General features: G+C 40.6%; 1 protein-coding gene across 10 annotated transcripts in view, besides 1 other annotated feature; it reads left to right on the forward strand.

Moving 5' to 3' along the window:
* The window catches only part of EML6 (EMAP like 6), a 248,474-nt gene that overhangs the window by 175,180 nt on the left and 58,857 nt on the right, over positions 1 to 14,437 (forward strand). For 8 of the 10 annotated variants that reach the window (XM_017004098.3, XM_047444299.1, NM_001039753.4 and 5 more), the window contains 4 exons: positions 910 to 1,051; positions 4,313 to 4,465; positions 4,640 to 4,771; positions 12,223 to 12,311. In XM_017004098.3, coding sequence (XP_016859587.1) covers positions 910 to 1,051; positions 4,313 to 4,465; positions 4,640 to 4,771; positions 12,223 to 12,311 — 516 coding nt within the window. Of the gene's footprint in view, positions 1 to 909; positions 1,052 to 1,965; positions 2,165 to 3,209; positions 3,415 to 4,312; positions 4,466 to 4,639; positions 4,772 to 12,222; positions 12,312 to 14,437 lie in introns of those variants that run through there. The other 2 variants (XR_001738743.2, XM_017004102.2) reach the window with 2 other exon arrangements.
* Positions 4,905 to 6,104: an enhancer, noted in NCBI's record as "CDK7 strongly-dependent group 2 enhancer chr2:55130773-55131972 (GRCh37/hg19 assembly coordinates)". NCBI's record gives its function as "activates an origin of replication core promoter dependent on BRD2, BRD4, P300/CBP, MED14 and CDK7 cofactors, with strong dependence on CDK7, by STARR-seq in HCT116 cells {active_cell/tissue: HCT116}" and the evidence as "EXISTENCE:reporter gene assay evidence [ECO:0000049][PMID:35650434]".

Genomic DNA, 14,437 nt, shown 5'->3' on the forward strand with positions numbered 1-14,437 from the left:
TTGCTTTACTAAGCAAAGCCTTTTTGTAATTAGCCATTAAAAAGCCAAAATTCAGTAAACAGTTAATCTGGTCTGTTTTATTGCTCTGTAGCACTAATCTTTACACACTGCATTATAGAGTGAAAAATTATGAGAATCAAATTCATTTTCTCCCTGTTAAGTGTTCGTTATAAAAAAATACTGCTTTCTCTTAGTTATTATTCTAAGCCAGCCAAGTGTGTTTGTGATAAGATACAGATACATGGAATTGGTCCAGTGCTTATTAAGCACCTTTCAGTTTTTGATGTTCATTGTTGGCACATGGACAGACCAATTTGTGAACAGACGCAGAACCTGGGCTACACCGAGGACGCTTGAAATGAAAATTTAGCTTCCTTTACTTCTGCTCTGCCGAATGCTACACATTCAAAGGACTAAAATTGCATAAATAATTAGAATATTGCTCTTCAATTTCACTGACATGAATGGGTCGTACCTGCATCTTTTAGAATATGATTTAACTGAAGGAAGTGGTTTGTGTCCTTGTGATTAAGCTGCTTTACTAGGAGGGTACATATATACTATGTTTATTTAGTATGAAACAACAGAAAAGCAGGCATTTCACCATTTACCTGGATGTTTCTAAATGGAAAGATGTTTGGCATCATATAAACAAAACCAATAAGCAATGAGTTCATGTTTTGCTTTGCAAATGAATGATTTAGCATCGTGTAGGTCTAGCTGTAGATTCAAGTTTAAATGAAAAAATTATTTCGGGTGATGATTTTGGTTCAAGGAAGCTCAAAGTGTGTTTATTCCTATTTGTGCTTTTTTGTGGTACTCTTGGACTGAATATGTAGCACCAGGCTAAAGAAGGGCTAGCCAAACAGCATAAGTAGAGTTTATGTTGCCCCTTTTCCTCTCCCACAGGGGCACATGGAAGGAGAAGTGTGGGGGTTGGCAGCTCACCCTCTCCTGCCCATCTGTGCAACAGTGAGCGATGATAAAACACTTCGCATCTGGGAACTATCTGCCCAGCACCGTATGCTGGCAGTACGGAAACTCAAAAAAGGTACATAACACCACCTTACACATCTGTCAGAGTATTTACAAGTAACAGAATGTGTCATATTTATTCACTCAGTTAATATTTACTGAGGGCACGTGTTATATGCCCATAAATATGCTGGGCAATGAGAATTTTATATTGGTTGCTACAGTCATAACTAAGCACATGTAGAATTATGCCAGAAGGCTGGCCTAATCCAGCTCCATTTTTCACTTCATTTTCCTTGCACTGCACAGATATTTGCCACCTGGGGGCAATATGTCCTTCCTCTTCTCATTGAGAGCTGTGGGAGTCAATTGAAATTCATCAGCTTTTAAAGAATGCTATTTATTTTGTAACAGTCTCCAGAACTTATTTTATGACTTGAAAACAAACATCAATTATATAGAAATATAATACTTAAGAAATGAGTAAATATGTCTTGAACACCTAAATGCACTAGAACTATGAGGTGTACTGAGAGGTACAAATTCAGCAAACATTTATTAAGTAGCTTCTGTGTGGCAGGCACAGGGGATCCCATGATGAATGGTCCCATCTCTAGTGTCAGAGATAGACAGGACTTGAACAGAGTCTCAGCAACATATCCATTCAAATTGGGTAATTCGAGGAGAGTCTTTAAAATGGGACTATTTATATAAAGGGATGGGGAAGGTATGAGGAAATGACCAGGGATAGTGCAGCACTATGCAGCTAGTAATGGCGGCTGCTCTCACTGGCCCTGGGCTTGAAGGGACAGGAGGAGAGGACAATTGCTGCAACCTTGAATATGAGAGCCACATGAGATGGCAGCCTGAGAGAAGCCACGACTGATAGCAGGGGACTCTGCCAGCATGCAGTGACCCTGCGGGAGGCAGCCAGGGAAATAAATGGCCCGGCCTCCCTATTCTTCCTCCATCTCTCTAATTTCCCACCAGTGCTCCCCGTTGGCCAAAGTCAACCTGAAACCAGAGGACAAGGGAGCCCATTGATGCTCTCCATGCAGACCAGCTTCAGGCACAGAGCAGGGTGGACAAGGGCAAAAAGGGGATGTGAAAGGACAAACTAAAGATATTTGGCACAAAGTACCCTGGAGCCTCAGAGGACATCTACTGCTTGGAAATGCTTCATCAGAGAGGTGACGAGCTGAGGCTTGAAGGATCTGTAAAAGTTCTTAAGAGGGAAGGATGAAATTGAGGTCTGACCCTAAAATATTTGTACTGAGTAATTTTATAAGCAGACATGAGGATTGTATTCTAGGGTAATAAAATGAAGAAAGGTGTCAAAACAGTAGTAACAATAGTGATGGTGGCTAATATGGCTGAGCCAACAACTATGCCAGCTCTTTCCATGTAGTCTTTGTAGGAACCCCATGAGTAAGGCTATTATTATTGCCACTTACAAATCAGAAAACTGAGGCACAGGAAGCTTAATTAGTTTGCACATTTAGTAGGTAATGGAACCAAATTCAAACCCATGCAGTGTGACTGTGAGAACACACCTGTGGCCACTGCTTAACACTATTTCCCTCTGCCGTGTTGCCTGTCTTTACACTAGGCTCCTGGGGATTGGTAAATGGTGGAGGCAGGATTTCCCAAATCTAAGTCCAAAGCCCATGCTCGTAATCACTACAGGCTAGAATCATTTTGGCTACTAGTTTATATCGGGGGAATGATAGGCCAAGTCCTCACTGTGAAGGACTTGAATGTCAGTGAATGGACTTTATTCTCTAAGTTAAAAATTAGTTGAACAACTATTGACCCATCTTAGATAGGATAACCATTCAACCCAGTTTACCCCTGTTGTTCTGGTATAATTATTAATAGCTTTCCTTTTCACTCTCAAACGTGTCTTGGTCTGTACGATAGATTGTGATTAACCTAATCTTGATGATGCTCTTCAAGGGCAGGCTTGTATTTTCATTGTCTCAGTACTGGCACGTCAGTTTTGAGCATGAACACAGCTTTCAGCATACCATGAACAGAGGAGTTGGTAAAGAGGCTCGGTATTAAATGCCCTGGCACAAGGCCACCTGGCTGTCCTATCCCTGGGGTGTGCTTACAACGCTCGACAATAAGAATGGTGGCAGAGGGTAGGCATGTTCTTGAATCAGTTTCCTTTTAGACATACCTTTGCAAAGTCCATGCTCCTGATTCAGAAATGTCTTTGTGACCCTACAAAGGAGTAGAGAACATGGTTCATGGAGCACCATCACCCTAGTGCCAATTAGTTTTCCAGAAACCCCTTGGGAGAATGTTCAGATTCCATTCTTCGCGTGACAGAAGAGGCAAGAACAACATCTTTCACCTCTAGAGTTATACATTACAATCCGTGGATCAGAGAATTGGAGCAACTAAAAGAATGAGGTCCTCTAAAGCAAGTTGTATGTAAGGCTTAATATTTAAAAAAAATGGTTTCTGGAAATTTTATTATAGAACTCCTATTCTTAAATATTACCTCTTTTCTTCGAAGCAAAGATACTGGTCCTATTAACCCTATACTCCTTTTCTCCATTTACCCCACTTATTTTTTGGAAACCCCAGGTATTTAAATACTCATAAATGAATGAATAAACCTCATGGAAGTTGAAAATGTATTTTTGATATTATGATCTTTTTCCTTGGACTTGGGGAGAAGAGATACTTAATTTTATTTTCTTGAGACAGGGTCTCCCTCTGTCATCCAGTCTGGAGTGCCATGGCATGATCACTGCTCACTGCACCCTCCACCTCCAAAGCTCAAGTGATCCTTCCACCTTGCCTCCTGAGTAGTTGGAATTACAGGCATGTGCCACTATTCCTGGCTAATTTTTGTATTTTTTGTAGAGATGGGATTTTGCTGCGTTGCCCAGGCTGGTCTTGAACTCCAGGGCTCAAGCAATCCACCTGCCTTGGCCTCCCAAGGTGCTGGGATTACAGGCATAAGCCACTGCACCTAGCTTATTTCTTTACTTTTTGTACAGGGTGGGTTTCGCCTCTACAAAAAATAACTTTTCAACTAATTTTTAACCTACGGAATGTGGCCCAGACTGGTCTCGAACTCCTGGGCTCAAGAGTTCCACCTGCCTCGACCTTCCAAAGTGCTGGGATTACAGGCATGAGCTGCTGCGCCCAGACAAGAGGTGTCTTAAATTAGGAAGTTTTAGTTCTCACAAGTGTAGTGTCAATTTAAAGGCAGTCACGTGTCCATACATAATGCACATCATCAGATTTCTTCATCTTTTCATGTGGTTTGCTTGACAGTGAAGTTTTGGATAATAAGTGTTTTTTGTGGATTCTTCTGTAGGTGGAAGATGCTGTGCCTTTTCCCCTGATGGGAAAGCCTTAGCGGTTGGCTTGAACGATGGGAGTTTCCTGGTGGTAAATGCTGACACTGTTGAAGACATGGTCTCTTTCCATCACAGAAAAGAAATGATCTCTGATATTAAGTTTTCAAAAGGTGAAGATGACAGCAGATACTTTTTAAAATAGCACAGTCTTGGGACAAAAAATTACAAGAATGAACTATTTCAAATGTTTCTTTGACCATTTTCCCACTTTTAAAATACTAAGTTCCTGGAAGTAAATTCCTATATAAAATGCTTCGATGTTAACCCCACATTTTTCTTAACAGATACGGGAAAATACCTTGCCGTGGCATCCCATGATAACTTTGTGGATATTTACAACGTACTTACAAGCAAAAGGGTTGGCATCTGTAAAGGTGCTTCTAGTTATATTACACACATTGACTGGGACTCTAGAGGTAAAGTATGTTGTGGCTTTTAAAATAGAATTTCTGTGTTTAAAAAATGTCCATTTATGCATTGTTTCTAGAGAGAATGGCAGTTGAGTGTTAGAAATGGGAAAGGGGAATCCCACAACAATATAAACGACTGTAATTTTACAACCCAGAGGCAGCTGCTGCTAACATTTTGAATACTTTTTCCATCTTTTTACGCTTAGGATGATTATTGTCACTATTGATTCAAGCCATTGAGTTTTAAGACAGTTAAAGATACATGATGCCTTTTGTTATCATAGCAAGCCACCACCTCACCTTTAGTTGGGAGTGCTTTCTCCTTGTCTTGGGTCCCCTCATCCTCCTCCTGGCTGGTTTCCCTTTTCCACCCAAAGCTCCACCTCTTGGAGAACCGCCCAAAAAGGCTCAAGCAAATTTCCTCCTCCAGCAGAGGTAGAAATCTACATTCAGCCTGCCTAAAATTTCTCTGCTCTATAAAACTCCCAACCTACTCCTACCTCCTCCAAGTCATGCCCACAAATGCCATGAGGATTTGTCTATTTAATAACTCTAGCTTTTATGGTGTTGCATAGTCTTAAGCTAGCAAATGTGGAGGCTCTGGAAGTGAGTAAGACATGGTTTCTGCTCCCTGTGGAGTTTATAATTGAGTGAGGGAGATACTTATCCATAAATAATACAAGAGCACAAAATGGGTACCGTGTGAGTAAGCAGTGGTGAGTCACAAGGGAAGTGGTGAGCAGGGACTCCGAATGGGCCACGGCAGCATTCAGTACCCAGGGTGGAACATTGCACTATAGGGTGAGTCACTCGTAAATCCTATCCTCAAGACTCGGCTGATGTTGAGAGTCTGGAGCGGGTACTTGGGAATGGACAGCATTCCCACCTTCAGAGACGTTGTAGTCCACTGTGGTAGAGAAGCACCAAGCCCAATGTATGCTCTGAGGGAAAGCTCCTTGGAGGTAATCCATGGAGCCTCTGTAGAAGGGAGTGACCTTTGAGGTTGATCTTGAGAGATAAGGAGAAATCCACCAGATAGCGCTATCAAGGAAGAGCCATTCCAGGCAAAAGGAATATGGCATATGAAGAGTGAAGGTGGGAAGAACCAGGGGGTGATGAAGAAATAGAAGTGCTCAGTGGCTGAGGGTGTGAAGGGAGGGGAATGTGGAGACACAGGCTGGGATAGAGCAGAACTTTCATGCTGAACTGTGTACTTGTAGGCACTATGTAACTCTGAGGGATCTAGCGTGGGGCATTCCCTCCCATCTTGGGGAGAAGAAGTGAGCCTGGAGTTGGAGCAATCAAATTAATCAGGAGAACGATGATGAAGGCCTCTGCCAAAAAGGTTATTTCAGAGTATTTCTTGGAGTAGTGGCCATAGACCAGGACTTGGAAACCCTTCTGCCTGGCAGGTATTTAGTTGTAACTATACTTGCCACACTGGAATTTGGACTTTATTTCAGCTTTACAACATTCAGGAGTTTTATACGGTGCAGTAGATAGAGAAAAAAGCATGTGATGCATTGCATTTATAAAAGGTACAAGTCCCAACAAGGGCAAAGGGAGATCAGATAAGTCTGTTTCGCTTTCATGTCAGGGCAGTGCTGGCCAGACAAAGTGCCGAGGGCTTTGACCGGCATTTATGACCAGGCAGGGCACTGTGACTTTATCTAGGAACTGGTGAGGCCGATGAAAGCAGCTGCTTCTCAGACCCTTCTTTGATATTCTCTGCTTTTTTTTTTAAAGCAGTGATTTCTCCCTATTTATTATCTTGCTATTCTCTTGCCAGGTAGAATAGGGTCTGATTAACTTTATTTAGAATCCGACACACACACACACACACACACACACACACACACACACACACACACACACACACACAAAATACCTGATACAATACGTGAAATCCCACCACTCAATGACTATTAGGGATTAAAACCCATTATTGTTTCTATTACGGAGTGAAGAGTCCAGAGAAAAGAGGGTATATATAGAGTAAATTTTGACTGGGAAGATTTCTTAATTATTTTGAATTGTGAAGTACACATAACAAAAATGTACCATTTTAATCATTTTTTAAGTGTACAGTTCAAGGACGTTAAAAACATTGACACTGTTGTGCAACCATCACTGCCCCCATCTCAGAATTCTTTTCATCTTGTAATACTGATGACATTCCCATTAAATGATAACTTTTCATTTCCCCAACACCTGGCATCTACCATTTTACTTTCTGTCTCTATGAATGTAACCACTCTAGGTACCTCGTATAAGTGGAAGCATACAGTATTTGTCTTTCTATAATGGGCTTATTCCACTTAGCATAATGTTCTCAAGATTCCTCCATGTTGTAGCATGTGTCAGAATTTCCTTACTTTAAAGACTGAATGTTTAATTTTATGTATAGACTGTATTTTGCTTATCTATTTGTTGAGGGGCACCTGTGTGGCTGCCACATTTCAGCCACTGTGAGTGATGCTGCTATGAACATGGATGTACAAATATATCTTCAAAACCCTGCTTTCAAGTATTTGAGGTATATGCCCAAGGGTGTAATTGCTGAATCATATGGTAGTTCTATTTTTAACTTTTTGAGGAATTACTATACTGTTTTCCATAGCAGCTCTACCATTTTATATTCCCACCAGTTGTACACAAGGGTTCAAATCTCTCCACATCTTTGCCAAAGCTTATTTTATGTGTTTATTTTGATAATAGCTGTCCTAATGGATATGAAGTGTATCTCATTTTGGGTTTCATTTGCGTTTAGGGAGTTTGTTTGTTCTTAATTCTGCAAATGTATAGGCCCTGTGTCAGATGGTGGGGATATAAAGAGAAGTAAGTCCCAGATAGAAAGCACAAGATCTCGGCCAGGATCAGGGGGATGCTGCTGTGGAGGGGCCTGGGGGAAGGTCTGTGTAAAGTCCCTCGATATGGAGCCATCACTTGGTGGAAAGAGAAGCAAACCTCCCTATTTCCATAATCTTGCCCAAGGCCAGCCTCTTAGAGCTCAGGATGCTGAGGGAGGCTCCTGGGAATGAGCAGGAGAGGAGTGGAGTCAAAGGTCTTTGAAAAGCCACCATGCTTCTCATTGTAAGGGTCCCTGCAGGCAGGTGAGGGGGTCAGACCAAGTGCTTTCTGTGGATTGAGAGTAGTAGAGACACTTCTGATTTTTAGGGAGGAATTACACCATCTGGAGAATAAGAGCAAGAATACCTGTGAATCTTCCTTGATCTAACTCCACTAGCCATGAGACATGTGTCATCCTGATATTCCTGCATTCCCAACACCTCAGTCCCCAAAATGCCTGATCTCGAGAATGTGCCATGCTGCCTCAAGACCAGCCTAGCTTTCACAGCAGGGGCCTCCAGAGTCTGGCAAGGTTGAGAGCAGAATTTAGAAGCAGGGTTCTGTTTCATGCCTTTGATCCTGTCGAAAATAGTGAAAGCATTTGCCAGAGCCAGCTGGCTTCTCAGGGTGGGGGATGGCACAGCCGCCAGCCTCAGCAGCCTCTTGTGCCCATGGCAACTACAGGTCCTTGGAAAACCAAAAAGTGCACTGGGCTTTTGCAGGAACATCAGCTACCCCTGAATGAAAGCTCCAGCATGGAATGCTTGAGAAAGAAAAAATGTATGGAGGGAGAGAAAACATAGAAAGGGTATTTTCTAAATGCTACAAGTTCATTTCTAGAAATATCAGGCTATAACATCCTTTACAAATTAACAATTTGAAGGCTGGGTGCGGTGGCTCACACCTGTATTCTCAGCACTTTGGGAGGCTGAGGTGGGTGACCTGAGGTGAGGAGTTTGAGGCCAGCCTGGCCAAAATGGTGAAACCCTATCTCTACTAAAATTACAAAAATCAGCCAGGTGTGGTGGCGGGCGCCTGTAATCCCAGCTACTTGGGAGGCTGAGGCCAGGAGAATCGCTTGAACCGGGAGGCAGAGGTTGCAGGGAGCTGAGATGGCACCACTGAACTCCAGCCTGGGTAACAGAGCGAGACTATGTCTCAAAAAGTAATAATAAAAATGACAATTTGAGCCATAATAGGACATTTCATTCCCATTTTTGTTGCAGATGGCCTGATACTTGGTATATTTAGTACCAGTTGTTAGAATTATTCTAACTTGTAAATTATATAGCAGCTGGGATGATGTATGTGGATCACTTTGTGGGCTGCAAAGCTCTATGGTACCCGCAAGATGTGTGATGTAAGGACATGGGTGTCTTTCAGTTTTTAATCTGTGTGAGCAGATATTTCCAGTGAATAAAAATGTGATTCTGAAAGGATTACTGTTATTCAAGAGCAATTATAAATGCAAACAGAGTTTTTGTTCTTGCTTCTGCTCCTCATCCTCAGAATATGTCAGTGGTGAGACAGATAGATTAGATAGATTAGATAGATTAGATAGATAGATAGATAGATAGATAGATAGATAGATAGATAGATAAGATAGATAGATAGATAGATAGATAGATAGATAGATAGATAGATAGATAGATAGATATCACAGCAGGCAGAGAGAAAAAGGAGTGGTGACCTAAATATTTCCTCATGCTTAAGAAACATGTATTAGCAGCAGTAAAGAAAATTTTGGTTTTAAAAAAATACCCTTAATTATTCCTTTCTAATAGAAGAATAGCTTTTTGGTTTGGTTTTTTCTTCTTGACATCCTTGATTGCAAAGAACAGAAACCCACTCAAACCAGCTTAAACTTTTTTTTTTTTTTTTGAGACAGGGTCCCACTCTGTCACCCAGGTTGGAGTGCTGTGGTGCAATCTCAGATCACTGCAATCTGTGCCTCCTGTGCTCAAGAGATCCTCTCACATCAGCTTCCCAAGCAGCTGAGACCACAGGTGCCTGCCACCATGCCCGGCTAATTTTTTTTCTGTATTTTTAGTAGATATGGGGTTTCACCATGTTGCCCAGGCTGGAAACCAGCTTAAATTTTAAAGTAATAATAACAGATGAGTTTATTGGAAAGATACGGAGATATTTTATAGAATCCAAGAGCAGGAAAGAACACCTGCCAAGGAACTGAGTTTAGCAATGAACTAGAAAACGCACAGGAACCAAGCAAGCAGTTCCTCTCCCCTCCTCTCCCACTCTTAGGCAGCTAGTTTCAGCATCCACTGCTCTTCTGGGTCTTATCTCTGCCTTTGACCCCTCTCTCTGCACAAGCAGCCTTTCTCTACTTCATCTGCACATGGCCCAGCCTCGGCTGCCCCAAAATGCCACCCACAGGCCCAAAGTCCACATCTCATCCCTGTAGGCACCAACTGATTCAGCCTCTCAGATTCCAGTTTACCAAGAGAGAACTTTGATTACCCAGCCCAGTGTGAGCCTGGCCCCTCCAGGATCAACATCTGCCCGCAGAGTATAAACATGACCGCGGGGGCAGTTCTCGGGGAAGGGGCATGTGCTAGATAGGGGACCCTACAAGCTGTCTACAATGCTACACAGCACTTACGGTACTTGTCTATGTGTTTAGATTCTCGAATATTTTTGCAATCATAAATTACTTCACTGAGAGATTTTTCTCATTTTTGGTTTTAAGTGAAGTATGATCTTTGAAACTATGGTGTAAAGTGAGTTGTTGGGATTTATCTGAGGATTACAGTCCTCTGAATTATCTTAGTATCTCATGGCCAAATATCATCTAAAATTAGCCATATTCAAAGAATGTGTTCACTGAATAACCGTCCACGTGCTTTGTCATTTGCAATCACTCTTGAGTGTCCTAAAAATAGAATTACTTTACAGATGTATTTAGTTCATCGGAAAAGTATTGGTTACTCATTTTCTTATAATTCTAAATAGTCAAAGATAACTAACTCCCTTTTTTCTTTTCTCACTTACATATATTCAGCCATAAAGTCAGAAGATGTGCCCATTTCAGGGTACACATTTTCAGATATATTTGCTCAAGTCAAGGAAAAATCCCCTAATCACTGTGTTATAATTCACCAAATTAGAAATGATTAAAGTTGTCAGTTTGGAAATGAGAGAACCTTATTTTTAGTCAGGTAGAAGTAGATCTACAACTTCTTAAGATTAGCCAAGCTAGGCTGAGCATGGTGGCTCATGCCATATAATCCCAGCACTTTGGGAGGCCGAGGTGGGCAGATCACCTGAGGTCAGGAGTTCAAGACCACCCTGGCCAACATGATGACTCTCTGTCTCTACTAAAAAATAGAATTAGCCAAGTGTGGTGGTGGGTGCCTGTAATCCCAGCTACTCAGAAGGCTGAGGCAAGAGAATCGCTTGAACTTGAGAGGCAGAGGTTGCAGTGAGCCAAGATTACACCACTGCCCACTGCACTCCAGCATGGGTGACAGAGCGAGACTCCATCTCAAAAAAAAAAAAAAAAAAAAAAGATTAGCCAAGCTAGATTTCAGATCAAGGTGGTGCCTATTTAAATGCTAAAGAACACGATCTAAACCAAAAAGTTCTTATTTTGGTATTATTTTTCTAAGAAAGATATTTCAAAACTACTAGATATACATAGTTATGGGAAAAAACAAAAGGAGAAATATTATGTATATGTATACTGAATTATTTATAGGTGAAATATTATGACGTCTGAAATTTGCTTCAAAATAATCTAGGGTGGAGGTTCATGAAACAGGGTTGGCCATGTGTTAATAGCTGTTGAGGCTGGACAGTGGGCATACAGGGGTTCTTTATACTCTTCTTCTATACATGTTTGAAACTTTCCATAATATTTAAAAAATGGCAAAAATACTGGAACATAAATACCTTGAGTCATTTACATTTTAAGCCTTACAAGATTGTTGCCATTGTAGGAGGAGAATTAGGAAATCTAACCTTTTTCAACGTCAAATCCAAGATTATAATTGTACATCAGACTGAAAGACTATTTTTGCCCAACATTTTCCTTGGGGAAAGTCCTGGATTTCTTTTCAAATGTTCAAGTAAGACCAGAGGGTGGGGAAGGAATGAGCATTTATAGTTTGTGTGTTCTGTTTCTAAACTTTAAAGGCAAATTTAGAACTCAGTCCTAAGTAAATGTGAATGCTCACAGTAAGTGTTTTATTTCTAATTGCCATAATCTTCCAATGACATAATTCTTGCCAACACAGTTTGCTGAGAGGCAACTGGGAAAAACAGGGGGAAAACTGATTTTTCTCAGGCTTTGGAAAACTATATTTTCAGTGCAGCATATCAATAAAACATATCAAGCTTTATTCTTCTGTTATTTGAAGGATGTTGAAGATCAAATATTATGAAGTCCATATTCTAAAAATCACAGCTTTGGGGTTTGTACCACATCATGTAATTGGCTGTACATGCCCTTCTGAATAATTCAAAATGTATTTACTCAATTTGTGAGACTTTGATTAAAATGAATCAAAATAGCACCCATGCTTCTCATTTTATAATAAAGAGATAAAGTCAGATTTTAATTATCTCTCTACTTCGTTCTGTCGTAACAGGAAAATTATTGCAAGTGAATTCAGGTGCCAGAGAACAACTTTTTTTTGAAGCTCCAAGAGGCAAACGGCATATAATAAGACCTTCAGAGGTAATAATCATACACAAAGATTTTTAAAGATATTTTGTGAAGATTTAATATGTGCATTTTAATAAAACCTATCACGTTAACCACTAATATGGGTTATATTTACTATACCTTTAAGTTTGATCGTGTCTTCAATCTGATTGCTTAATCTGGTTTCCAGGTTCCCAGAACATATGGATTTATCACACCACTGGTGTAGCAATGTACAGTTGGTGCTCTGCTTAATTTTTCTCTGCCTGAAGACAATGAATAAGCTAGCAATTTGGATGTTATATATTCCTTTTTCCATTTGACATGTCATTTTGTGCAAAGCTTTTTATGAACATATATTTTGAAACATGTTTTCTCAATGGTTATTTGTAATTATGAACATTATTATCTATAACAACAGAATTTTTTTTTTTTTTTGAGGTGGAGTCTTGCTCTTTTGCCCAGGCTGGAGTGCAGGGGCACCATCTTGGCTCACTGCAACCTCCCCCTCCCAGGTTAATGTGATTCTCCCACCACAGCCTCCCTAATAGCTGGGATCATAGGCATCTGCCACCACACCCAGCTAATTTTTTTATTTTATTTTTTTAGTAGAGATGGGGTTTCCCCATGTTGGCCAGGCTGGTCTCGAACTCCTAACCTCAGGTGATCCGCCCACGTCAGCCTCCCAAAGTGCTGGGATTACAGACGTGAGCCACCGTGTCCAGCCTGGAAATTATTTTTTGAGACAAAAACAATCTGCAATCTGACCATTGTATTGTATCAAACTGTTTTCTTTTTTCCATGTTTCCTCATGTCCTTAGCTACATACACGATTTTTTAGTTGCTGAAATCAAAGCCTAGATAAAATTTTTGAATCCCTAAACTAACACCTCTTGAAAGCTAGATGGCTTTTGTAGATGCGTACCTCTTTCAGGGTGTACACATAATGAGCCCTGGTCTAACTGTTGATGAGGATGAGGAAATATTGCTTCCTTAGAGGAAAAGGAGGTAAGGGTATGCCACTGAGTGGCAGGCATCTGCCTCTCCCTCGCTTCAGTTTGCCAGTATCTTAAACTGTCCCAGTATTGTAAGGTTCTCCCTAAGACATTTGGACACGTGTACATTTGCATTGTCATTGTTTGTAAAGGAAGTATATGTGTAGTACTTAAAAAATATACATCGTTATAGATCATGGCATTGTATTAATGGAAACTGTTCACTGAGAAATTTGATCTCACTCCCCTCCCCAATTCCAATTTATTTGTCTCTGATCCGTCCTCTTTTTAACTTTTTTATATGGAGAAACTTATGGCCTTGAGTAAGAGGTATTTTTAATTACGTCCTTCATTCACTGGTAATTTGTTGACTGCCAGATACTTTATACACCTTTATTTTTAATTTTAATTTCAGCTTTGATTTTAGATTCGGGGATACATGCATAGGTTTGTTTCATGGGTCTGTTGTATGACACTGAGGACTGGCATACAAATTATTGCATCACCCAGGTAGAGAGCACAGTACCTAGTAGATAGTGTTTCAGCCTTTGCCACCTCCTCTCTCTGCCCCCCAGGAATCCCCAGTATCTGTTGTTCCCACCTTCCTGTCTGTGTGTACCCAATGCTTTATTCCCACTCGTGAGAACATGTGGTATTTGGTATTCTGTTCCTGCGTTAATTCTCTTAATATAATGGCTTCTAGCTACATCCATGTTGCTGCAAAGAACATTATTTCATTATTTTTTATGGCTGCATAGTATTCTATGGTATATATGTACCACATTTCCTTTATCCAGTTGGTCACTGATGGGCATCTTGGTTGATTCCATAGCTTTGCTATTGTGAATAGTGCTGCAATGAATATATGAGTACATGTGTCTTTTTGGTAGAACAATTCCTTTTCTTTGGGGTATGTACCCAGTAATGGTATTGCTGAGTAGAATGGTAATTCTTTTTTAAGTTCTTTGAGAAATCTCCAAACTGCTTTCCACAGAGGCTAAACTAATTTACATTCCCACCAACAGTGAATAAGCATTCCCTTTACTCTTCAGCCTTGCCAGATTCTGTTTTTTTTTTTTTTTTTTTTACTTTTAATAATAGCCATTCTGAAGGGTGTGAGACAGCATCTTGTGGTTTTGATTAGCATTTCTCCAATGATTGGTG

The sequence above is a fragment of the Homo sapiens genome, chromosome 2 (assembly GCF_000001405.40).
Source record: "Homo sapiens chromosome 2, GRCh38.p14 Primary Assembly".
Taxonomy (NCBI): domain Eukaryota; kingdom Metazoa; phylum Chordata; class Mammalia; order Primates; family Hominidae; genus Homo; species Homo sapiens.